Source organism: Homo sapiens, chromosome 4, assembly GCF_000001405.40.
Source record: "Homo sapiens chromosome 4, GRCh38.p14 Primary Assembly".
Lineage (NCBI taxonomy): Eukaryota > Metazoa > Chordata > Mammalia > Primates > Hominidae > Homo > Homo sapiens.
Genome location: NC_000004.12, coordinates 100,856,032 through 100,882,871, shown reverse-complemented (window position 1 = coordinate 100,882,871; position 26,840 = coordinate 100,856,032). Strand labels below are relative to the sequence as shown.

The window sequence follows — 26,840 nt, the reverse complement described above, 5'->3', positions numbered from 1 at the left end:
CTCTGGGCTTCACTCATTACCAACTCCTGTATGGAAAGGAGAATCTGGGCAAGTGTGAAAAAAATGATTCCCCATTTGAAGGGAGGAGGAGCAAAATACAAAATATTCAGGTACTAGTAATTTTTACTTCTGTTGAAAACATCTTGAGTTTTAAACCTATACTTCCACTTGGCCAGGTATTTAAACTCATTATATACAATATGGAACTCATTATAGTCCATAGATCTGCTCAGATTCTAAATTCCCTGTTAGCCCCAGACACCATGGGTGAGAGGCAATCGCCACGACAGCTATGGTTTTGGATCCTGTTTTATCTCTGCTCCTAGGCCTGACCCCAATCTCGTACATACCCCAAGAAAAAGGTAGGTGTTTACCAAACTGATGAAAAAAACTAAGGGCTTTTGGAGTTGGGTTTCTAACAGACCAAAATTAATAAGAATAGCAGAATAAAAAGCTGTTAGGAGATGAAGATAATAATATTTGATTGTATACCATGAAATGATTGTATTTTCCCAAGTCTCTGCCTTTATGAGCATTCCATCCTTCCTGTGGTCTACCCAGAAGCGTTCCTAAGGGCCAATATCAGGAATGCAATTATCACAGCTTTGCTTTCCCATTCACCTTGAGCTTATCTTACTCTCTAGCACAGTTTGCTCTATTTCTTCTCCTTTGTGTTGGCCCTTTTGGAACTCTTCCTCTACCCCCACCAAATATGCTTGTCCCAAGGTATCGAGACTATTTTTCTCAGTCCTAGCTCCCTAGCACAGTAAGCCAGCCCCATTTTCATGGCAAATCAAACCTGATATCCCCAGAACCCCTCTGGTTACTAGGGGAAAGTCCTAGTCTCTCTTATGACCATCTTAGCTCTTGAGATTCCAGCCCTGTTCTGAGATCTGCGGCCCCTGATTCTGGTTTGCCCAGCTTAGGCAATTCTATATTCAAACCAAACAGGCTCCAAAATAAACCATTATTTTCCCCTTTCAAATTTTGAAAGCCTAATGGCTTTCCATATCAATTTTTAATCTTGATTAATGATACTAACACACATTTAATCAAACAAGCTAGTGACTTTGATCTTTTTCTTTTCTTTCCCTTACAATCCACATTCAAAGCCACTTTTCTGCTTGCTGTCATAGCAAATCTCTTGCTTGAACCCACTCAGTCAGTCCTTTATTCCCATGTTTTCTTTGAAATTACTTCTATAGCTTCCATATTGACCAGTACTCCTGCATTCAAGGTTTTGAGAGTGCCATTAAGCTTCGCCATTCCCCACATACAAACTAGTAGTTTTTAAATTTACTCTCTTTCCTGGGGGAGGGATACAGAGGCTTTCACTTTTGAGTTATTTCACTATTGAAATAACTCTCATACCACAGACCTGTGAACCAATGTTATAGTTCTGCTAATAAGAAAGCATACCAGTATACATAGGAACCCAAGTTATGATCATCAGATGTTGTCCATGGATCCTGTGGACACACTGAACAACTCATTAACTACTGCTTAGAACTCCATTTACCACTAACCTCCATTTGTCCCCTACTCTAAAAGAGAGCTCTGGTAGCATTTTGCATCTCCAGACATCAGTGTTGATTTAGCCTCTGTTCAAAAGTCCCTGAAAGGTCCAGGTATTTTACTTTTCCTAGCATATGGTTTGCTGAATAAATAGCTGTAGGACCGTTTGGTGGTAAAAAAAAAAAAAAAAAATTGGGGGAATTAACACTTCTTATGCTTGTTGTGGTCTTGCTGCAGTGTTCTTTTATCATAGGGAACTAATGTTTCCCTTGGTCAGTGAGTTCAGGATTTCTCTGAGAACTGGCCATATCTAAAAGCCGGGCAAGGGATCATAACTCTTTACTAGGGTAATTACCTTTAGTCTCATAATCATCAACTCTGGATTTTTTTGACGGTATAACTCAAGCAAATTTTTTTTGTTGAATTCCTAATCTTGCCTCTAGGACCAATATTCTATAAACCATCCCAAAAGTTATTTGTGTATCAGGGTCCCTGATTACCACTCTGACTTTGCTGTTAATTGTGATAATTGACTTACCTTGTTTACTGACTGTTCAGTGATACCATGTAGCTTCCATTATTCAGGGTCCCATCACCCTCATTGCTATGAAGTAGCCCAGTCCTGTGATAGCATCTCCTACCATGAGTGCTGGCCTATTAATAACAACCACAGTCAACTTCTCAGTGAGGCTGGTGCCCCTTTCACCAGCATGTTCTTTGTCTATTTTGTTACATGGCATGTCCTCCAGGTCCTTCAAAGGAACATAAGTATCTGCTGGATTTTCTAATTTAGCATGACCATTTTTCTGAGCCGTGGGAGCCTTTGCTCCATGAACTGTCACCATAGTAGTTCTCACATTTCTACTCCATTAGCTGTGTCCGTCACTTTTTCCAAGCTTCTAAGTGTCACTTTTGCAGCACATTTGCACTTTCTCTTGAGGTCTTCACCAGAGTGTTAAATTCTCTACCATGAGAATGTGCTCTTCCAGATAAACTCTCCCGTCAGTATCCAGAGCACTCAGGGACCAGTTCCTTGTGCATTAACAGGCACCCCTGGGAGCCAGGTCCACATACAGTATCAAGTACCCTTGGGATCTAGTATTGCCCCATCCCCAGCAGGGTCCAGTCCATGTATTCTATCTAGCCCTTGGCAGTGCAGATTAGTCAAATTCCTGTAGCTCCTTTCCTCCCTTATCAGGCATAGCACATCTGTGCCAGGGTTTGACAATTAGACATTCATTCTCAGCCAGGATGGTAGATGCTGAGAAAAAGGAGCACTGCATTATGTCACCTGCCTCATATGAAGCTTCTTTATAATCTTCAGTAAGGAGGAGCTACAATCTACTAAGAGAGGTGAGTGGCCTCTACTTCAGGCGTAGTGGGTTCAGGGGATCTGCCACTGCACTCTCATAGATTTTCCAAGTTTTAATATCTTACTATTTCCAGAATAGGGTCCTGGCCTTGAAGTAAAAATTCTACAAGGGCTGAGGATCCTCCCTTCACTGAAGCTCTGCAACACTTTGATTAAGTCCAGCACCTGGTCTTCAGCTTTGTTTTGCCTCTGGCTTTAGAAAGTGAGGAACTTTAAATGCAACCTACAAGGCACCCTGACTTTTACAATAAGTCTTGAATTGATGATTAATCATACTGAGCCTGTCTTTATTTGTCTCTAATGAATCAGTGGTGTTCAGCAAGTCACCCTATCCCATTGTCCTCACAGTGAGTGTGTCTCTCATACCTCTCAAGTACCAATTTCATCAGCTAGTGTGACCCCTTCCACCTGTGTCTTGTCACGTATTACCACTGGTGATAGTTTTGTTAATTGCACCATTACAGTAGGCCAGGGACTATCCATACTCCATCTATTTCTAGCAATGGGATTCTCACTGCCATGTTCTGACAAGTGATCAATTTTCCTAAAGAGTCTGCTTTCTAAGACCACTCCTGGCACTGACTATCTTCAACTGAGTTCTCTGAAAATATACTTTTAGCTGAAGGATTGTGTGCAGATGTTTATTGGTGATTGCTTCTGAGAGATACATATGTAAGGGAGTTAGAAAGGTAGGATTGGGTAAAGAGATACATAGATGTGTAATGTTGCAGTGGAGGCCACAGCCAATTTTATAGTGGCTCTGAAACTTTGGCATTGTCCCAAATTGAACTAAAGGGGTAGTGCTGGACTCTTACATGCTTTCATCAGCTAGACATAGGTTATAGACCTTCCCTGGGATGAGCCTTAACCTTGGATAAAGGCAATTCACAGTGAGGGCCTGCTGAAGTAGGCCCTCAGCAGCCAATATTCTGAGAAGCTGGGTTTGGATGAGTAGGCCCTGAAGAATGGAGCTAAGAGAATCTCACAGAACTCACCTTATCTTTTTATCCTTTAGATTATGAGCTCTGCAAGATCAGGGAATGACAATTTTGTCAATTTTCTTCTCTGTTTTATCCTGAGTCTAGAATAGTGTCTGGCACATAGTTGAAAATAATCTAAAATCATTAAACCCCAACTATACTCCCCTTTAATTATCTTTCAAATTTGTATATATTTTCTATTTCTACTGTTGCCTTAGCACATATCCCATCATATATTGACAAATTAATGCCAGAATTTTCTAACTAGTCTCCTTCTTTGGCTACTTTCTAACAAAACCATTTAATGTAAAAGTCATCTGTTAATCCTACAATATTGATCTTGTTAAAAGTGTTCTATGGCTTCCGATTACCTATAAGATGAAAGTGTGTATGTGAGATACAAAACCCTTTATGATTTGGTCTTGGGTTGGCTCACCTGAATGCTCTCCTGTTATTCTTCCCCCACATTACTACCTGGTGAAATCCACATCAGGTAGTGTATGAGCCTTAGAAACTCTTATATTATTCAGAGTTATTGAGTATGTTGTTTCTTCTGTCTGTTATATCCTTCTCATTCTTCTCCATCTGGTAAATTTCAGTTATTCTTTAGGATCAAGTTTATGTCATATTCTGATACAGTTTGGCTCTGTGTCTCCACTGAAATCTCACCTTGAATTGGAATCCCCACATGTCAAGAAATGGTCCTAGTACGAGGTGATTGGATTATTGGGGTGGTTTCCCCCATGCTGTTCTCGTGATAGTGAGTGAATTCTCCTGAGACCTGATGGTTTAGAAGTGTTTGGCAGTTTTGGCCTCACTCTCTCTCTCTTCTGCCACCATGTAAAACGTGCATTGTTTTCCCTTCACCTTCTGCCATGAATGTAAGTTTCCTGAGGCCTCCCCAGCCATGTGGAACTGAGTCAATTAAACATCTTTTGTTTATAAATTACCCAGTCTCAGGTAGTATCTTTATATTGATATGAAAACAGACTAATACAAATCCTTTGTGTATGTTTTCTAACTCTTTGGGGCAGAATTAATGGCTCCTTTCTCAGTGTTCTAATGGCATTTAGGACATAACTCCATTTTAAGAGACTATTCTAATTGCTTACCTTATATTTCTTTCTTTGACCTGTTCTCTCTCACTAAAGTGGTGATAGCCCTCATGATGTATAACCTACCTTTCTCTCATGCCTAGATCAGACTAAATGTTTGTTAAATGAATGCGTGAGTGATTCAATGACTGTTGATTAAGGGTCAAGTATGTACTTCTAGTAAGCTAAGTGCTTTGCCTAAAATAGAGGATAAAAGGCAGGTACCTACCTTACAGAGCCCATGTTCTTGGGATGAGTATTATTATGAGTTGAGAAAATTAAAGCGGAAAGACTTTAATGAATGGCAGCTCAGGGGATTGACTCAAAGACTAATGCTTAGTTGACATAATCATGACTGGTCAGAGAAAGTTTCTCTGTGGATTAAATTGTAATTTTCATGAAATAAGGCTGTAAGGATCATAGCTGAACTATCTTCTATTCATATTTTCCTATTATGCCTTTTCTCTGTGTTCTGCCATGGCATGTACTTAACCCAGTTAGAACAGAACACTGTATTCTCACATGACAAAAGTGATTATCCTTTCAGTTGCCTCTGAGATAATTATAACAGTGACTGGAGCAGATGTTGTTTAAATTATTTTTGTGCATAATATTTTCCCTGATGGTCTTTTGAAACTAAAATACAGACATTTCATATTAGAGTGTGATAGCTGAGATGATTGTTCACCTTTAAATCCAACAGATCACACTTCACATACCCTGATGAAATATTTAATGCATAGCTCCAAATTCATCCTCCTGGGATGTAAATTGATGACATTACAGAGGGTTAGTCTGAACAGAATATGATACCAGTTGTTAGCTAACACTAAGGAAAGTTACAGGGAATAGTCAGATTGTGGAAGGAGAATATTAGGTTGATGTAGGATTGGTATGTGGTTATATTTTATGCATGACTTCAGATATTGCTATATAGATATAGAACTTAGTTGAGGTTTCCAGTAGAGGAAAACAAAAGAAAAATAAAGAAAGAAGACAGGTGAGAATGAAATGCCTCTTTTCCAGTACAACCTTCATGTTTGTGGGAGGAAGGAAGCCTGCACATTGCTTGAGTATAGATTTGGTTTATCTGAGCTCAACAGCAAAGTTCTGCCTGAGGAGAGTGTCTGTGTGAAGAGGCTATATGAGCCAACTTTGCTGTATCACTTTCCTAGTAAAAGGCAAGTCTGAGCTTGTTAATAATTAAAAGATACAAAAACTAGAATGATACATGATTAGACATGGTAAGGTTTTTTAAGAATGTCATTTTAAATTGTGCACAATAATTGCTGGAGTTATGCTTTGAAATAATGCTTTGTTTGCATCTTCTTATTCAGCTTCCCCCAACTTCTTACTACAGTGGAAAAACTTACACCTTACCCTAAAACTAAGGCTATCATTAAAATCTCTGAGAAAATTTCTATGAAAAATAAAGCCAATTCATCAGGATAAAGAAAAGCATGACATTTGTGCTTCTCCCTCTAGTTACCTTGTGATTCTGTGACCCAGGATCTTTGTTGACCCAAAACACAAGGAGATCTGTCTTCTCCTCCAAGGGTACTATTACTCTTTCATATTTCTACATTCATTTGGATTTTGTACCTTTATGAGGTCCTGGAAGAAAGAAATGTATGCTGGGGACATAGTTTTAATGTGCTCCAGTTTTTCAGAGGATCAGGTAGTGGCAAGAAAGGATTCTTAGTATGAAAAATAAACTAAATTGATGCCTGCTAAACATGAGAATTTAGTAGTAGTATATAACTCCAACTCTCCCTCCAGATCTAGATCAAAGGAGATTCAACTGTCTCCAGAAGGAGAAGTGTAGTAAAATAAAAAATTAATCTAGTCTTTGTCCCTTGTTCCTGGGAGGGAAACTAAATCCTTGGAACTCCCAGAGTGATGGAACTCTTTTTCATTTGTAGTGGGCCCTGATAGTTAATGCTAATGAGGTGACTCATGATGGGCCCTAGATAGCTTATGCTAGCGAGATGGCTCCGGATAGGGGTTGGCCATCCCAGGAAGACCAACCGTGGGATTAGAGGATTTGAAGATGTTGAGTCATTTGATATCAGCTGACCTCCAAACCTTCAGAGAAGGCATGAGGACTAGAGATTAAATCCAATCACATGGCCTGTGATTCAAACAATCATGTCCATGTAATGAAACCCTGATGAAAACTCTGGACACTGAAGTTCAGTGGGGTATACACTGATGTACTGGGAGGGTGTCAAGCCCTGACTCACTGGCAGAGGGCATGGAATTTCCTTATCAGATATCACTCTATGTGTATCCCTTATAATAAAACGTATTCATGAGTATAGCACTTTTCTGAGTTCTATGAGTCATTCTAGTGAACTATCAAAACTGAGGAGGTTAAGGGAACCCCTGAATGTGTAGACAGTCAGTAGTGTGGGTGGTATGAGGAACCCCAAAGTTGTGGGTTGTATCTAAAGTATAGTCTTGTGGGTGTCTGAGCCTTTAACTGTGGAGTCCAATGCTAACTCAAGGTGGTTAACCTTAGAATTATATTGCAGCACACCCAAATGGGGATTAAACAAAACAACAGGTAAAAAGAACAAAGAGACATCCACACTTCTTGAGTACTGGCAAAAAAAAAGTCTTTGTAGAAGACCCACTGTCCTGTCAACATCTTCCAGGACTGGACAGACCTCCAACTACCAATATGTGCATTTATTTACCTCACAGCTTTCACCTAAGGTGGGATAATTCTCAAGTATGTAATGTACACTGGTTCCTAGGGTTTTCCCATAGATTTACCTACAGTGTTATCTGGTCCAACAATATACCCTTTATATGTTGTCTTCCTTTACCTTTATCATTCCCTCTCTTCTATTGGTGCTTCCTATACCTTCTAAATAAAGTACATGGCTTACAATATTTTTCCCCAGAATCTGCTACTGGGAGAATCAAAACTAGAGTATCTTCTGGACTGAGGGTGAATGAGAAGGCAAAATAACACAGGGCTCACTAAAAAAAAAATGATTATATTACATTGGAATGGAAGCAAAATCTTAAACAGGGAATGAATGAGCATAATTATGAAAAATTATGCAAAATGTTTTACTATAGAAACCTAAATAGAAGTTTGAAAACTGCTTGACAGTGTCAATACAATAAAAGCTATGTAATGTGAATAGACAACCACAGAAGGTACCAAATTATGAAAGCAAAGATAAAGTGTAAAGGGAGTTCAGTGAAATAAGGATAGATACCATATTTAATAAAAATCCGGTAGCAGAAAACGAAGTGATTTAGAGCACAAACTTAAAAAGATCATCTGGAAGACAGAAAAAAATGATAAAGAAAAGTAATGTGAGATGAAATTTAAAAGTTAAATATGATAACTCTCAAATATTTGTGTTAGCTTTGACATCTCTTGACCTTTGAGCCATATATACAACCAGCCATTGGACATTTCTTTTTGACTTTCACAGTGAATCTCCAAATTCTGGATTCATCAGCTTTCTTTCAGTGTTACATATTTAAAGTTGGCTAGAAATAGAAACCAATTATCTTTAACATCTCCGTTATCTTCCAACACCCCACTCTAGGCTTAACAATGAAGCAATCTAAGTTCTTTTGAGCCTACTCGCTTACTCGCTAACTATCTCTCAAATGTGTCCATTTTTGCTTATGTCAACTGCCCCTAATCTAACTAATCCAGCCCTCTATCCCCTCAGGCCTGGACCATTGCAAACTTTTAATAAATTTACCGATACCAATCTTTTCATCCTCTAGTCTAAACTGTACACTGCAGCCAGGTGATTCTCCCAAAGTATAGTTGTATGATTTCAGTGCTTAGGAGCTTTGTTGACTTCCATTGTCTTTGAGATTATAGGCAATGCATGGCCATGCATAACCATGCATAACTTGAATTGACCCTAAGTGACCTAGCCACTATCTTGCTCTTATCTTCATTAGTAGAACTTTCTATAACATGAATCTATAATTCCTCAAATATGTTACACATTTTTTTTTTTTTTTTTTTGCTGCCAAAGCCTTTTGGCATGCTGTTTTCTCTGCCTGGAACACTTTTCTTGCCTCTTTTACCTGACTAATTTTAACCTAAGTTTCTCTTTGACTCACTGACATAGTTTGAGCCCTCTTGATTTATTGTTTCCTAGTACTCTCTAAATACTCTAGTATATCACATTTTATTGGAATGATGTCTTTAATTACCTGTCATTCTTGCTGTTTCTTAAGATGGGAAAAAAAGACCATGTATATTTTTTCTCATCACTATACTCTCTATACCTGGAAAGATTCCTGGTACTATTTACTTAATAAATATTTATTGAATGAACTATTGAGTGAGTGAATGAAGGAATGAATGGGTAATATTAGAGCTTTAGCTTAGAGAAGTTAGCTATCCCTGAAGAGATAACATCATTAGAATAGAAACAATAATCAAAGGCAAAATTTCCTGTGATAGGGAAAGAAAATCAGTGCATGCTGATATACAAGATAATATGAAATGTCAAATGACATCTTTCCTGTTGTCTAAAAATTGGATATTGAAGCTTTCAGCGAAGAAAAATAGCTGCTAAGCTGAGAGCAATACCAGCTCTTGGAGGCTAGCCACCACCACCAAGGCTTAATGAAGGATCTATTTTACATATTCGGCAGCCACTCTGTAAAACTTTTGGGCTGCCTAAATTGTCCTCTACCTTACCATCTTCCTGCATGGGCAAAGTCAAAAAATTGGGTGAATGTTGCTGGAAACCTTGAAAAAGAGACATGGAAGAAATGGCAAAGTTGAGGAATGAGTGCAGTGGGGTCGGGCAGCTTGCATTCCCACTCTTTGGTATGGCGATCTATGAGTCAGATAAACAACACATAGAGTGGTTAGGATTCCTTGTGATTCCTAGAGAAGGCTGTCTTCTAAATGACAGAATCCTGGCAGCAAGAACTGGTGAAATGCCTGTGGTATTGGATTGAGGTACATCAGGACAGATCAAGCCTGAACTGAATCTTCGTCACCATAAAATTGGGTATAGAAATATTTTACACCTTGGGGTGAATCTGGGGCAATAGAATAGCTGGGATAATTGTAGCACATGGGCCAGTCACCTATAGCCACAGGAACCCTAGTCAGAGGATTTGGGGCAAGAAAGCTCTCCCAGAGAGCATAAGTGACTTGATGCTGGGAATGAGTGCTCAAATACTAAGTGCTGAGTGTGACTATGGAGGTATACTAGCATCTGGATATCTACTTTAGCAACTAGATACAGACCATTGCCCTGCCTGTCATAGACAAGAAAACTATGCAAAGTCTGGAGGTGCTGATGTTTCATACTTATAAGTTAGTGTACAACCCAAGAATGGTAGCCTGAATCTCTGCCTTCACATATATTGGATTCCTGTGTTCATTTGGGACAGATGTGTCTTTCAGTTACATTCATACTAGGTATGAACTGTCTTCTCTGAATAATGGATGCTTTTCACAAATTTGAAACAATATAGAAAAATTTGGATTCAGAAGCCTTTCATCAATCACAAGAAAATTCCATATTGTATTTGTCAATGAAATAAAGATTATTAAACACTTTAGTACTTAAAATTTTGAAAAAAATTTGAATGATGTCAGTCTTTTAACATGTACTTGTAAAGTCAAAAATTGTTGATGAAATTGCAAAAGTTTTTCATTAAAAAGTTAGGTCAAGACTGCACATAGCCACATCAACCATAAAAGCTATTTAAAATTGAACCATCTGATACCTACCGGAAAATCACTCTAAATATAAGGCCACATAGGTGAAAAGTAAAAGGACTAAAAGAATGGTAGCAGCCTGAATCCATGTAAACATCATATATGTGTATATGTCATGATGTTAACATTAAACAGAAAGAAAGCTGGAGTAGTTATAATAATATTACAAAATGTAGACTTCAGATCAAAGAGTATTATCATGGATTAAAAAGGTTATTTCCTAATGACAAAGTAATTAATTTCTCAAAAGAAAATAACACTTCTAAACATGTATGCACGCAGTAACAGAGCTTCAAAATACATGAAGAAAATTATAGGGCTGCAAGAAAAAATGGACAAATCCATAATTGTAGTTAAATATTTTAATAGTCTTTTCCCAATAATTTATAGAATAGAGAGGTAGAAAATCAGTAATGATATAAAATAATTAAACAATACTGTCAAATAACTAATCTAAATGAGATTTATGGGATACTTCTTTCAGGTGTTCTCCTGCCATGGGTGTGTGAGCTGAGCGCCTATGTTTCGCAAGCCAAACCAGGAGTGGTGTGGCGTGACACTTAGGTTTCTGTCTCAGGTGGAAAGTCTTGTGGCCTGGGGCAGTTTTGTATTCTGAGCACAGACTGCCTGGGATCCAGCTGGCTATTGCAGCTTTCTGCCAGTAGAAGTCTGAGGGTGTGAGACATGCCATGTCAAGGGTGTGGAACCTGGGTGGGTCTCACTGCTTTCAGCTGCCCCTCTCTCCTCACATGACTCTATTGGGCAGCAGTGGTGGTTCTACTTCTCCCTGGTACATTACGCCAGCAGCCACCGTCAGATCCTTTGCTTGCACACACACTTGGGAAGCCAGAGTGCGAACTTGCCTGACCCAGCTTCCACCCAGCTTTGCTCATCCACCCCTCTTAGTAGCAGAACACATATAGGCATTTTTGGGAGTTTCATGGCCCCACCTATTGCCTGGGACAGCTGAGTACTTCCTTTGGGTAACATAGGCCAAGAGTAAATTCCATGGCCACCTCTGCAGCTGGATCTTTGCTGCAAGTGCCACCTTTTGGTCAGAGGTCAATCGGCATAGCCCATTACAACATTTGCTTGCACAAAAACACAGTGCTTGGGGAGGAGAAAATGTGTGCGTGACCTCTGCTAACACCATTGCCTACCCCACCCCAGCTACTCAGGAGTGCCCAATACATTATTACTATAACTGGCAATTGAGAAAGTTACCACTGTAAGGCTATTTATAACCCAGGAAATCTTACAAAGTCCATGCCACTTCTCTGTGACCCACATGTTGGGTATTGCTGGACAGGTCAGCCTGGTCCAGCAGCACCCAACGTTGTAGCCATCTGGAGCTAAGATTGGACCCTAAGCCACTAGACATCCTGCAGACCAATCCATTGCCTAAGGCATTGAAGAGCTTCTCCAGATGGCTGACTAGAGATTTCAGGGACCAGTTCTCATCAGAAGGAAGAAGCAAAATTGCAGGGGAAAAATCATAGCCCAAAGATTGTGTTAAGAGGAGAGTACTAGAGCCTATTGGAGAGTTCACTGGAAGAATCTATGACATACAAAAAAGAAAGAAACAAGAAACTAGCACAGATTAAACCTTTTTAAACTTAGAAGTCTGTGGAAAGGGCAGATGGGAGTGTTTTCAGCCTCTCTAGCTCATCTGGCAGACTGCAGTATTGGAACTCAAAGAGAGCTTCTTTGCCTTCATGGTCCCACTGGAATGGACTGTGATTTTGGAACTTCTCTAGTGCATTACACTGGCCTACCACCTAATTTAGTATCCCTCCCTTTTTGCCCTGTACTCAACCTGTAGTAGTAAGCACCATACTAAGTGCACACTCATTGTGGGACATTTTTCCACTCAGAAACTTTCAATCTTCAGGTCTTCACGTAAATAGATCCCTTGAAAACATTCCCCAGCACCAGCCTGGATTGCAGCAGCCCCACAGTGGCTAAACCTAGAGGAGCAGCAAGATTCATATTAGTCTGGCCCTCAGGGATTGCCATTTTCAAGGGAAGAGAGACTGTATCACACCAAGGGAGCATGCTGTGGGACAAAATATACCAGAAGGGAGGCTTTTCTATGTCCCAGAACTTCCTGTTCATGGGCAGGGAATGGCTGCACCTCTTTCAGCAGAGGCACAGATACAGTGCTGGGCTCCCTAGAGTTCTGCTTCAGCAGTTGAACAACACCAGTTATCATGAAAGGACTTGAAGAAGGGGACTTCTCCTTTCCCTTGCCCACCCTGCAGTCACAGCTTGCACTTCTCCCATGGGAGCTTGGCATGAGGGCACTTGTAGACAGTCTTTCTGGAGCATTTTGGGGTGATTGCGTCCACACGGGAGGCTTGCACAAGTGGTGGAGACCTCCTTCTTCTCTACACAGAACATCAGCATTCCTGCAGATGGAGAGAGATGCCTGTCTGATCTGAATATCTGGAACATGAGGACCAGGGCATGACTGGGAGATGGATTGCTTTTCTGCTGGCCTGGTAGTAGAGCTGAGGCAGCTGTATTCCTCCTCCCTGTGAAGACCTCAGTGAATTTCACTAGGAGCTCTTCAAACTTCCTCCATCAGGGCCTGGACTTTTACCTACCACTGTGATATCACATATACCCACCTGTTTCAGACACAGCTGGTTCTTACTCATGGACAACTAATATTGGCCTGAGGATGAACTGTTCAACCCGGTGAAAAAAATACTGGAAGAGTAAAGTGCATACCACTGGGAGTGAGGTAAGCTTCATGAGACCTCTGCCATTCCAGCCCCACAGGAGATAGTGAAACTGCTCCTACACCCAGTACACTGCTGCTGAAAGCAGCATCTGAGAAAGTCATTGCATGAAGATTATCTATAACCAGGGAACTTATACAAAGTATTTACCACTGAAAGCACCCGGAGCCAAAGCTATGCAATCATAAACTATACACATTATAGTCACTTCCTCAAGAGGAGGGAAATCCCTGTCTAATTAAAACTGAATTCAAAAATAATTAGAATAAAGAGTCTACTCAGATGAGAAGCAACCAGAAAAATAATTGTGGCAATATGAAAAAAAATCTTACAACAGCCCCAAAGGATCACACTAACTCTCTAGCAATGGATCCAACCAAAATGAAATCTTTGAAATACCAGATAAAAAATTCAAAATATTTATTATAAAGTTGCTCCATGAGCTCCAAAGGAAAGTTAAAAATGAACATAAAGAAATTAAAAAGAAAAACAATTCGGGTTGCTGCCAAGATGGCTGAATAGGAACAGCTCCGGTCTGCAGCTCCCAGCAAGATTGACGCAGAAGACGGGTGATTTCTGCATTTCCAACTGAGGGTTCATCTCACTGGGACTGGTTGGACAGTGGGTACAGCCCATGGAGGGCGAGCTGAAGCAGGGTGGGGCATCGCCTTATCCCGGAAGCACAAGGGGCCGGGGGATTTCCCTTTCCTAGACAAGGGACGCTGTGACAGACTGTATCTGGAGAAACGGTTCACTCCTGACCAAATACTGCATTATTCCCACAGTCTTAGCAACTGGCAGACCAGGAGATACCCTCCCGTGCCTGGCTCGGCAGGTCCCACACCCACAGAGCCTTGCTTACTGCCAGTGCAGCAATCTGAGATCCACCTGCTATGCTGCAGCTGGAAGGGGGAGGGGCGTCTGCCATTGCTGAGGCTTGAGTGGCTCACAGTGTAAACAAAGAGGCCTAGAAGCACAAACTGGGTGGAGCCCACCACAGCTCAGCAAGGCCTACTGCTTCTATAGATTCCACCTCTGGGGTCAGGTCATAGTAGAACAAAAGGCAGCAGACAGCTTCTGCAGACTTAAACATACCTGTCTGACAGCTCTGAAGAGAGCAGTGGTTCTCTCAGCATGACGTTTGAGCTGTGAGAATGGACCGACTGCTTCTTCAAGCGGGTTCCTGACCCCCGTGTAGCCTGAATGGGAAACACCTCACAATAGGGGCTGACAGACACCTCAAACAGGCGGTTGCCTCTCTGGGACAAAGCTTCCAGAGGAAGGATTAAGGAGCAATATTTGCTGTTCTGCAGCCTCCGCTGGTGATGCTCAGGGAAACAGGGTCTGGAGTGGACCTCCAGCAAACTCCAGCAGACCTGCAGCTGAGGGGTCTGACTGTTAGAAGGAAAACTAACAAACAAAAAGGAATAGCATCAACATCAACAAAAAGGACATCCACACCAAAACCCCATCTGCAGGTCACCAACATCAAAGACCAAAGGTAGATAAAACCACAAAGATGGGGAGAAACCAAGCAGAAAACCTGAAAATTCCAAAAAATAGAGCACCACTTCTCCAAAGAATCACAGCTCCTTACCAGTAAGGGAACAAGACTGGCGAAGAATGAGTTTGATGAGTTGACAGAAGTAGGCTTCAGAAGGTTAGTAATAACAAACTTCTCTGAGCTAAAGGAGCATGTTCTAACCCATCAAAAGGAAGCTAAAAACCTTGAAAAAAGGTTAGACAAATGGCTAAGTAGAATAAAGAGTGTAGAGAAAACCTTAAATGACCTGATGGAGCTGAAAACTGTGGCACAAGAAATTCGTGACAAATGCACAAGCTTCAGTAGTCGATTCGATCATGTGGAAGAAAGGATATCAGTGATTGAAGATCAAAGTAATGAAATGAAGCGAGAAGACAAGATTAGAGAAAAAGAGTGAAAAGAAATGAACAAAGTCTCCAAGAAATATGGCATTATGTGAAAAGACCAAATCTACGTTTGATTGTTGTACCAGAAAGTGATGGGGAGAATGGAACCAAGTTAGAAAACACTCTTCAGGATATTATCCTGGAAAACTTCCCTAATCTAGCAAGGCAGGCCAACATTCAAATTCAGGAAATACAGAGAGCACCACAAAGATACTCCCTGAGAAGAGCAGCCCCAAGACACAAAATTGTCAGATTCACCAAGGTTGAAATGAAGGAAAAAATGTTAAGGGCAGCCAGAGAGAAAGGTCAGGTTATCCACAGAGGGAAGCTCATCAGACTAACAGTGGATATCTCGGCAGAAAGCCTAAGAGTGGGGGCCAATATTCAACATTCTTAAAGAAAAGAATTTTCAACCCAGATTCTCATATCCAGCCAAACTAAGCTTCATAAGTGAAGGAGAAATAAAATCCTTTACAGACAAGCAAATGCTGAGAGATTTTGTCACCACCAGGCCTGCCTTACACGAGCTCCAGAAGGAAGCACTAAACATGGAAAGGAACAACCAGTACCAGCCACTGCAAAAACATGCCAAATGGTAAAGACCGTTGATGCTATGAAGAAACTGCACCAATTAATGGGCAAAATAACCAGCTAACATCATAATGACAAGATCAAATTCACACATAACAATATTAACATTCAATGTAAATGGGCTAAATATCCCAATTAAAAGACACAGACTGGCAAATTGGATAGAGTCAAGACCCATCAGTGTGCTGTATTCAGCAGACCCATCTCATGTGCAAAGACACACATAGGCTCAAAATAAAGGGATGGAGGAAGACCTACCAAGCAAATGGAAAGCAAAAAAAAAGCAGGGGTTGCAATCCTAGTCTCTGATAAAACAGACTTTAAACCAACAAATATCAAAAGAGACAAAGAAGGCCACTACATAATGGTAAAGGGATCAATTCAACAAGAAGACCTAACCATCCTAAATATATATGCACCCAATACACGAGCACCCAGATTCATAAAGCAAGTCCTTAGAGACCTACAAAGAGACTTAGACTCCCACACACTAATAATGGGAGACTTTAACACCCCACTGTCAATATTAGATAGATCAATGAGACAGAATGTCAACAAGGATATCCAGGACTTGAACTCAGCTCTGGACCAAACGGACCTAATAGACATCTACAGAACTCTCGACCCAGAATCAACAGAATATACATGCTTCTCTGCGCCACACCGCACTTCTTCTAAAATGGACCACATAATTGGAAGGAAAACACTCCTCAGCAAATGTAAAATAAGAGAAATCACAACAAACTGTCTCTCAGACCACAGTGCAATCAAATTAGAACTCAGGTTAAGAAACTCACTCAAAACCACACAACTACATGGACACTGAACAACCTGCCTCTGAATGACTACTGGGTAAATAACAAAATGAAGGCAGAAATAAAGATGTTCTTTGAAACCAAAGAGAACAAAGATGCAACATACCAGAATCTCTGGGACACATTCAAAGCAGCTTGTAGAGGGAAATTTAGAGCACTAAACGCCCACAAGAGAAAGAGGGAAACATCTGAAACTGACAACCTAACATCGCAATTAAAAGAACTAGAGAAGCAAGAGCAAGCACATTCAAAAGCTAGCAGAAGGCAAGAAATAACTAAGATCAGAGCAGACCTGAAGGAGATACAGACACAGAAAACCCTTAAAAAAATCAATGAAACCAGGAGCTGGTTTCTTTGAAAAGATCAACAAAATAGACCACTAGCAAGACTAGTAAAGAAGAAAAGAGAGAAGAGTCAAATAGACACAATAAAAAATGATAAAGGGGATATCACCACCAATCCCACCGAAATACAAACTACCATCAGAGAATACTATAAACAACTCTATGCAAGTACACTAAAAAATCTAGAAGAAATGGATAAATTCCTGGACACATACACCCTCCCAAGACTAAACCAGGAAGAAGTTGAATCTCTGAATAGACTAATAACAGGCTCTGAAATGGAGGCCATAATTAATAGCCTACCAACCAAAAAAACTCCAGGACCAGATGGATTCACAGCTGAATTCTACCAGAGGTATAAAGAGAAGCTGGTACCATTCCTTCTGAAACTATTTTAATCAATAGAAAAAGAGAGCATCCTCCCTGACTCATTTTATGAGGCCAGCATCATCCTGATTCCAAAGTCTGGCAGAGACACAACAAAAAAAGAGAATTTTAGGCCAATATCCCTGATGAACATTGATGTGAAAATCCTCAAAAAAATACTGGCAAATCGAATCCAGCAGCACATCAAAAAGCTTATCCACCACGATCATGTGGGCTTCATCCCTGGGATGCAAGGCTGGTTCACCATTCACAAATCAATAAATGTAATCCATCACATAAACAGAACCATTGACAAAAACCACATGATTATCTCAATAGATGCAGAAAGGCCTTTGACAAAATTCAACAGCCCTTCAGGCTAAAAACTCTCAATAAACTAGGTATTGATGGGACGTATCTCAAAATAATAAGAGCTATTTATGAAAAACCCACAGCCAATATCATACTGAATGGGCAAAAACTGGAAGCATTCCCTTTGAAAACTGGCACAAGACAAGGATGCCCTCTCCCACCACTCCTATTCAACAAAGTGTTGGAAGTTCTGGCTAGGGTAATCAGGCAAAAGAAATAAATAAAGTGTATTTAGTTAGAAAAAGAGGAAGTCACATTGTCTCTGTTTGCAGATGACATGATTTTATATTTAGAAAACCCCATCGTCTCAGCCCCAAATCTACTTAAGCTGATAAGCAACTTTAGCAAAGTCTCAGGATACAAAATCAATGTGCAAATATCACAAGCATTCCTATATGCCAATAATAGACAAAAAGAGAGCCAAATCATGGGTGAACTTCCATTCACAATTGCTACAAAGAAAATAAAATACCTAGGAATCCAACATACAAGGATTGTAAATGACCTCTTCAAGGAGAACTACAAACCACTGCTCAAGGAAATAAAAGAGGACACAAATAAATGGAAAAACATTCCATGCTCATGGATAGGAAGAATCAATGTAGTAAAAATGGCCATACTGACCGAGGTAATTTATAGACTCAATGCTATCTCCATCAAGCTACCACTGACTTTCTTCCCAGAATTGGAAAAAACTACTTTAAAGTTCATTTGGAGCCAAAAAAGAGCCCGCATAGCCAAGACAATCCTAAGCAAAAAACAAAGCTGAAGGCATCATGTTACCTGACTTCCAACTACACTATAAGGCTACAGTAACCAAAACAGCATGGTTTTGGTACCAAAACAGCATGGTTTTGGTACCAAAACAGATATATAGACCAATGGAACAGAACAGAGGCCTCAGAAATAACACCACACATCTACAACCATCTGATCTTCAAGAAACCTAACAAAAACAAGCAATGGGGAAAGGATTCCCTATTTAATAAATGGTGCTGGGAAAACTGGCTAGCCACATGTAGAAAGCTAAAACTGGATCCCTTCCTTATACAGTATACAAAAATTAACTCAAGATGGATTAAAGACTTAAATGTAAGACCTAACACCATAAAAACCCTAGAAGAAAACCTAGGTAATACCATTCAGGACATAGGCATGGGCAAAGACTTCATGACTAAAACACCAAAAGCAATGGCAACAAAAGTCAAAATAGACAAATGGGATCTAATTAAACTAAAGAGCTTCTGCACAGCAAAAGAAACTGTCATCCGAGTGAACACACAACCTACAAAATGGGAGAAAATTTTTACAATCTACCCATCTGACAAAGGGCTAATATCCAGAATCTGCAAAGATCTTAAACAAATTTACAAGAAAAAACAAACAACCCCATCAAAAACTGGGCAAAGCATATGAATAGACACTTCTCAAAAGAAGACATTTTGCAGCCAACAGACATAGGCAAAAATGCTCATCATCGCTGTTCATCAGAGAAATGCAAATCAAAACCACAATGAGATACCATCTCATACCAGTTAGAATGGTGATCATTAAAAAGTCAGGAAACAACAGATGCTGGAGAGGATGTGGAGAAATAGGAATGCTTTTACACTGTTGGTGGCAGTGTAAATTAGTTTAACCATTGTGGAAGACAGTGTGGCGAGTCCTCAAGTATGTAGAACTAGAATTACCTTTTGACCCAGCAATCCCCTGACTGGGCATATACCCAAAGTATTATGAAGCATGCTACTATAAAGACACCTTCACATGTATGTTTATTGTGGCACTATTCACAATAGCAAAGACTTGGAAACAACCCAAATGTCCATCAATGGTAGACTGGATTAAGAAAATGTGGCACCTATACATCATGGAATACTATGCAACCATAAAAAAGAATGAGTTCATATCCTTTGCAGGGACATGCATTAAGCTGGAAACCATCATTCTAAGCCAACTATCACAAGGACAGAAAACCAAACACCACATGTTCTCTCTCATAAGTGGAAGTTGAACAATGAGAACACATGGACACAGAGTGGGGAACATCATACACTGGGGCTGGTCAGGGGATGGGGGGCTTGGGGAGGTATAGCATTAGGAGAAATACCTAATGTAAATGACGAGTTGATGGGTGCAGCAAACCATCATAGCACATGTATACCTATGTAACAAACTGCACGTTGTGCACATGTGCCCTAGAACTTAAAGCATAATAAAAAAAAAGAAAAGAAAACAAATTCAGGATATGAATGAAAAATAATCTAAAAAGATAGAATTTATAAAACAAAAAGAAAAAAATCAAAAAGTTCAGAAAACCTATTTGAGGGAGTGATTGAGGAAAACTTCTCTGGTCTTAGTAGAGATTTAGACATTCAGATACATGAAGTTCAAGAACTCCTGGAAGATTTTTTGCAAAAGGACATCACCAAGGGATACAGACATCAGGCTATCTAAAGTCAACACAAAAGGAAGAATTCTGAGAGCAGTGAAACAAAACATCAAATGACTTATAAAGGAAAACCTATCAAAATAACAGCAGATTTATCAGCAGAAACCTTACAAGGCAGAAGGGATTGGAGTCCTATCTTTAGTCTTCTTAGGCAGAATAACTGTTGGCCAATAATTTTGTATTCTGCAAAACTAAAGTTTCATAAATGAAGGATAAATAAAGTCTTTCCCTGACAAGCAAATGCCGAAGGAATTTGTCATCACTAGACCAATCCAACAAGAATCCTCAAAAGAGTTCTAAACATTGAAACTAATGGTTGATATACACCAGTATAAAACACTTGAAATTATAAAACTCACAGGGCTTATAAAACATTACACAATGGAGAAGATATAGCAATTAGATAACAATCAACATGATGACTGAAACAGTATCTCACATGTCAATATTAACTTTTAATGTAAGTGGTCTAAATGCCCTATTTAAAAGACATATACTGGTGGAATGGAAAAAAACACAACCCAAATATCTGCTGCCTTCAAGAGCCCCACTTAACTCATAAATATTATTATAGACCCAAGATAAAGGGGTGAAAAAATATTCCACGCAAATAGAAAACAAAAGAGAGCAGGAGTGTCTACTATTATATCAGAAAAAACAGACTTTAAATCAAAAACAGTACAAAAAGACAAAGAAGGTCATTATATAATAACAAAGAGACCAATTCAATAAAAAGATACAGCAATCCTAAGTATATATGCACTTAACAGAGGAGCTCTCAGATTCAAGAGGAACTCTCAAAACTATATAAATACACAAAATTAAACAACTTGCTCCTAAAAGATCTTTGGGTCAATGATGAAGTCAAGATGGAAATTTAATTTAAAATCAAATGAATAATAACAGTGGCACAAATTATCAAAATTTCTGGGATCCAGTGAAAGCAGTGCAAAGAAGGAAATTTATAGGATAAATACTTACGTTAAAAAAAAGTACAATTTTACATTGGACCTCAAGAAAGTAGAAAAATAAAAGCAAAGTATCTTCTCAGACTGCAAAGGAATACAACTGGAAATCAATTCCAAGATAAGAGCAAAGCTAAATGAAATGGAAACGAATAAACAAAAAAATACAAATGATCAATGAATTGAAAAGATAATTAATTCAAATAAGCTAAATTAGAATTAAAAATAGAAACATTACAACTGCTACCACAGAAATACAAAAGATCATCTGAGACTAGTATGAATACCTCAATGCATACAAACTAGAAAATCTGGAAGAAATTGATAAATTCCTAGAAATATACATCCTCCCTTCCTTGAATCATAAACAAATAGTAATCCTGAACAGGCCAATGTTTAGTGGTGGGATTGAATCAGTAATAAAAAATCTCCCAACAACAAAAAAATGCCCAGGACCAGATGGATTCACAGCTGAATTCTATTAGGCATTCAAAGAAGAAATGATGCCAATCTTCTTGAAATGATTCGAAGAGATTAAGAAGGAAGGAGTGCTCCCTAATTCATGTTATAAAGCCAGTATCACCTTAATACATAAGCCATGAAAGGGCACAATGACACCACAAATACCTACAGATTAATATTCCTGATGAACAGATAAACATAGTTGTGAAAATCCTCAAGAAGATACTAGAAACTGAATCCAACAACACATCAAAAAATATAATTCACCACAATCAAGTGAATTTCATTCTGAGGATGCAAGAATGATTCAACATATGCAAATCAATAAATGTGATTTGACACACAAACAAAATTTAAAATGAAAACCATATGATCATTTCAATAGATGAAGAAAAAGCACTTGATAAAAAATTTGAGCATCCCTTCATGATAAAACCCTAAACAAACTAGGCATAGAAAGAACATACCTCAAAATAATAAAGTTATATATGACAAACCCATAGCTAAGATCATACTTTATGGGGGAAAATTTTAAAGCATTTATCCTCAGAACCGGAACTAACAACGATGCTCACTTTTACGACTTCTATTCAACATAACACCGGAAGTCCTAGCCAGGGCAATCAGGCAAGGGAAAGAAATAAGGGACATCCAAATTGAAAAAGGAAGTCAAACAATCTCTGTTTGTTGCTGATACAGTCGTACACTTAGAAAACCCTAAAGACTCCTCCAAAAGACTCCTAGATTCTATAAATGAATTCAGTAAGGTCTCAGGTTACAAAATCAGCATATGCAAATTAGTAGCACTGTTATACACTAATATTCACCAAGCTGAGAAGCAAACAAAAAACTCAGTCCCTTTTACAATAGCTGCACACAAAATAAAATACCTAGGAATACATATGACCAAGGAGATAAAAGATATCTACAAGGAGAACTAAAAAACACTGATAAAAGAAATCATAGATGACACAAATAAGTGGATAAAACATCCCATGCTCATGTATAGAATGAATCAATATTGTGAAAATGACCATACCCAAAGCAATCTATAGATTAAATGCAATTCCTGTCAAAATACTAATGTCAATTTTCACAAAATTAGAATAAACAATATTAAAATCATATGGAACTAAAAAATAACCCGAATAGTTGAAGCTATCCTAAGCAAAAAGAACAAATCTGGAGGCATCATATCACCTGACTTCAAATTATACTACAAGGCTATTGTAACCAAAACACCATGGTACTGGTATAAAAGTAGACACGTAGACCAATGGAACTGAAAAGAAAACCCAGAAACAAAGCCAAATATTTATAACCAATAGCTATTTGACAAAGCATACAAAACCATATACTAGGTAAAGGACACCCTGTTCAATAAATGGTGCTTGGAAAACTGGACAGCCACATTCAGAAGAGTAAAACTGGTTTTCTATCCCTCACTACCACATTCAAAAATTAACTTCAGGTGGATTAAATATTTAAATGCAAGGCCTGAAACTTTAAATATTCCAGAAGAAGGCCTAGGAATAACACTTCTGAACCTTGGCATAGGCAAAGAATTTACAACCAAATGCAACAAACCCGAAAAGCAAATGCAACAAAAACAAAAATAAAGAGCTTTTGCACAGCAAAATAAATAATCAACAAAGTAAATAGGTAACCTGCAGAATGAAAGAAAATATTTACAAAGTATGCATCTAACAAAGAACAAATATCTAGAATCTACAAGGAATTTAAACAAATCAGCAAAGAAAAAGCTATTGAAATAAAGAAAAAGGACATCCAGTTCAACAATAGCAGAATAACAAATTCTTTTCAAGTACGTGGGGAATATTTATTAAGATAGAATATGTTATGAGTTATTAAACAAATCTCAATACATTGAAAATGATCCAAGTTATACAAAATATGTTCTCTAATCACACTCGAATTAAATTATTAATTGATAATAGATATCTCAAAGAGATCCAAATATTTGGGAACTAAGCAACACAATTTTTCAAATCTCACAGGTTAAAAGAGAAATCAAAATAGAAATTAGAATGTTTTGAACTAAACGAATATGAAAATACAACACATCACGATTTTTTAGAATGCAGCAACGGTAGTATTGAGAGGGGAATGGATAGACCTAAAATGCCTAATTGGAAAGGAAAAAAAGATTTCAAATAAATGACCTCAACTGCCACTTTAGGAAACTGGAAAAAAAGAGGACAAAATTAAAACCAAGGTAAGCAGAAGAAAGAAAATGATGAGATCGGATTAGAAACCAATTAGAAAATAACAAAAAAGGAAAATCAACAAAACCAAAAGCATTTCTGTGAGAAGGTTAATAAAATTGATAAATTTCTAACCTGACTGATCAAGATGAAAAGAGAAAAGACACAAATTACCAATATCAGAAACAATTAAATAATATTATATATATTTTAAAAGAATAATAAATATTATGATAAAGTAAACTACAAACGCTCACACAATAAGAAATAACCTAAATAATTGTACATCAAAAATTTATTTTTTAAAAAGATTTTCTAAAAAATTAAAGGTTTTATTGTTATTATTTTTTTTTTTTAGCAGTTTGAGATTCACAGGAAAATTGAGAGGAAAGTACAGACATTTCCCGTATACATCCTGCTCCTACACATGCAATATCCCCTACAAGGCTGGGACACTCATTACAATTCACAAATCTACCCTGACACATCATTATCATTCAAAGTCCATAGTTTTCATTAAAGGTTACTCTACATTCTAGCAGTTGGGACAAATTTATAATGACATGTATCCACTATTATTGTATCATATAGAGTATGTGTGGAAGATTTCACTGCCTTGAAATCCTCTGTGTTCCACACATTAACCCCTGTCTCTCCTCCACCCCCTGGAAATCACTGATATTTTTACTGTTTCCATAGTTTTCCATTTTGAATTTTAAGTTTTATTAAGATATTTTTCCACAAAAAATTCAAGCATAGATAGTTTCAGTGATTAACTATACCAAATGATTATGAAAGTCATAATATCAATTCCATGCAAACTCTTCTGGAAAATTTAAGATATCTGCTGTCATTGATTCTATTCAACGTTATACTTGATGTTTTATCAATTGCTATAAAGCGAGAATAAAAAATGAAAAACATCTAGGTTGGAAAGGCAGGAGTAAAAGTGTTTTAATTTGTAGATAACATGATTATCTGTGTAGAACATCTGATGCAATTGACAAAAGAATCTTCCAGCATTAAAATGTGAGTTGGATGAGTTTTCAGTATACAGGATCAATATGCAAATTAAATTTTATTTCTATAAAGAAACAGTGGGGTCAGTATGCAAATTTGATCTCATTTCTATATGCTAGCAACAAAAAATCACAAATTAAAATGAAAAACAATATAATTTATAACATCAAAATATGAAAATTTTACAGATAAATTTGATAAAAGATATATAATATCTGTATACTACAACTACAAAATACTGCAGAAGGAAATTTAAAAACCTAAATAACTAGAAAGATATATGCATTTACAGATCAGAAGGCTCAACACTGTTAAGATGCAAGTTTTTTTACCATTTGATGCTTCAGTGTAATTCTAATAAAAATCCCAGCAGGCATCTGTTTTTTTAACAAGGTAATTATATTTAAATGAAAAAAAAACCAAGGATCTAGAATAGCTAAAACAACAACTTTAACAACTCCATCAAGTTGGAGGACTCACACTACCCAATTTCAGTACTTATTTTAAATAAAAATAATGTGATCATAGCGTAAAGAGAAAAATAGATCAATGGAATACAATAAAGAGTCCAGAAACAGACCCACACATACATTATCAATTGATTTTTACCAAATTGTTAAGACAATTTAAGAGGAGAATCCAAGATTATAATCTTTTCTACAAATGGTGCTGGAACAATTAGATAGTCATTTGGATAAATGAAGCTTTCCCTTTTCCTCATCTGACATACAAACATTAGCTTGAAATTGATCATAGACCTTAAAGTAAGAGCTAAAACTATAAAACAACTAGAAGACAACTAGGAGAAAATATTTGTGACCATGGGTTTGATGAGGATTTCTTAAGTACAACAAATAAAGCAAAAGCCTTAAAAAGAAAGAATTAGTAAATTGGACTTACTGAAAATTAAAAACAGTTGCCTTTCAAAAGACATTGTAAAGAATAAAAAAGCAAGACACAGATTGGCAAAAATATTTGAAAAACATGTATTTAATGAAAGATTTGTATCTAGAATATTCAAAACTCTTACAACTCAATAATAAGACAAAAAATGAAATAAAATGGGCAAAATATTTGAACAGACACTTCACCACATAGGATATACAGATGTCAAACATATTAAAAGATATTCATTGTCATTAATCATTAGGAAAATGCAAATGACAATGAGATATATATTACTCACCCATTAGAATTTGTGAAAATAAAAAGAAGACCATACTAAGTTTTGTGAGGATGTGAAGCAACTGGAACTTTCATATACTGTTTGTGGTAAATTAAAATGGAAAAATGAATTTAGAAGAGAGTTTGGCAGTTTTGTGAAACTGTAAACATACACCTCACATATGACCCAGCCATTCTAATCCTAGCATGTCCCCAGAAGAAATGAAAGCATGTGTTCACAAGAAGACACATACATGAATGTTAAGAAATTTAACAAGTAAATGTTTGGCACTTATAATAGCCAAAAAGTGAAAATAACCCAGTGATCATCAACAGGTGAATCCATAAACAAATTACGGTTTACCCATATAGCAGAATACTACTTAGCAATAAAAATTACAGTTTACCCAAATAGCGGAATACTACTCAGCCAAAAAAAGCAAAAAAAAAAAAAAAAAAAAAAGAAAAGAAAAGCAATGAAGTATTCATACATAAAATAACATGGATAAATCTCAAATAATTAGCCTGAGTCAAAGAAGTTGGACAAAAGAGAACATACCTTGTATGATTTGATTTATATAAAATTCCAGAAAATGCAAGCAAATAGAAAGTGACAGAAAAAAGATAGTTGATTGCTTGCCAATGGAAGGAGGAATGGGTGGAAGGGTGGAAGAGAAGGATTGCAATGTTAGGTTAACA

The 26,840-nt window shown here is 37.8% G+C and overlaps 1 long non-coding RNA gene across 1 annotated transcript in view; it reads left to right on the top strand.

Annotated features, from left to right (window-relative positions):
• Positions 1-2,749: 2,749 nt before the first annotated feature.
• The window catches only part of LINC01218 (long intergenic non-protein coding RNA 1218), a 68,704-nt gene continuing 44,613 nt past the window's right edge, over positions 2,750-26,840 (top strand). The window contains exon 1 of the long non-coding RNA NR_189167.1: positions 2,750-2,868. This is a non-coding gene — a long non-coding RNA (long intergenic non-protein coding RNA 1218). The remainder of the gene's footprint in view (positions 2,869-26,840) is intronic.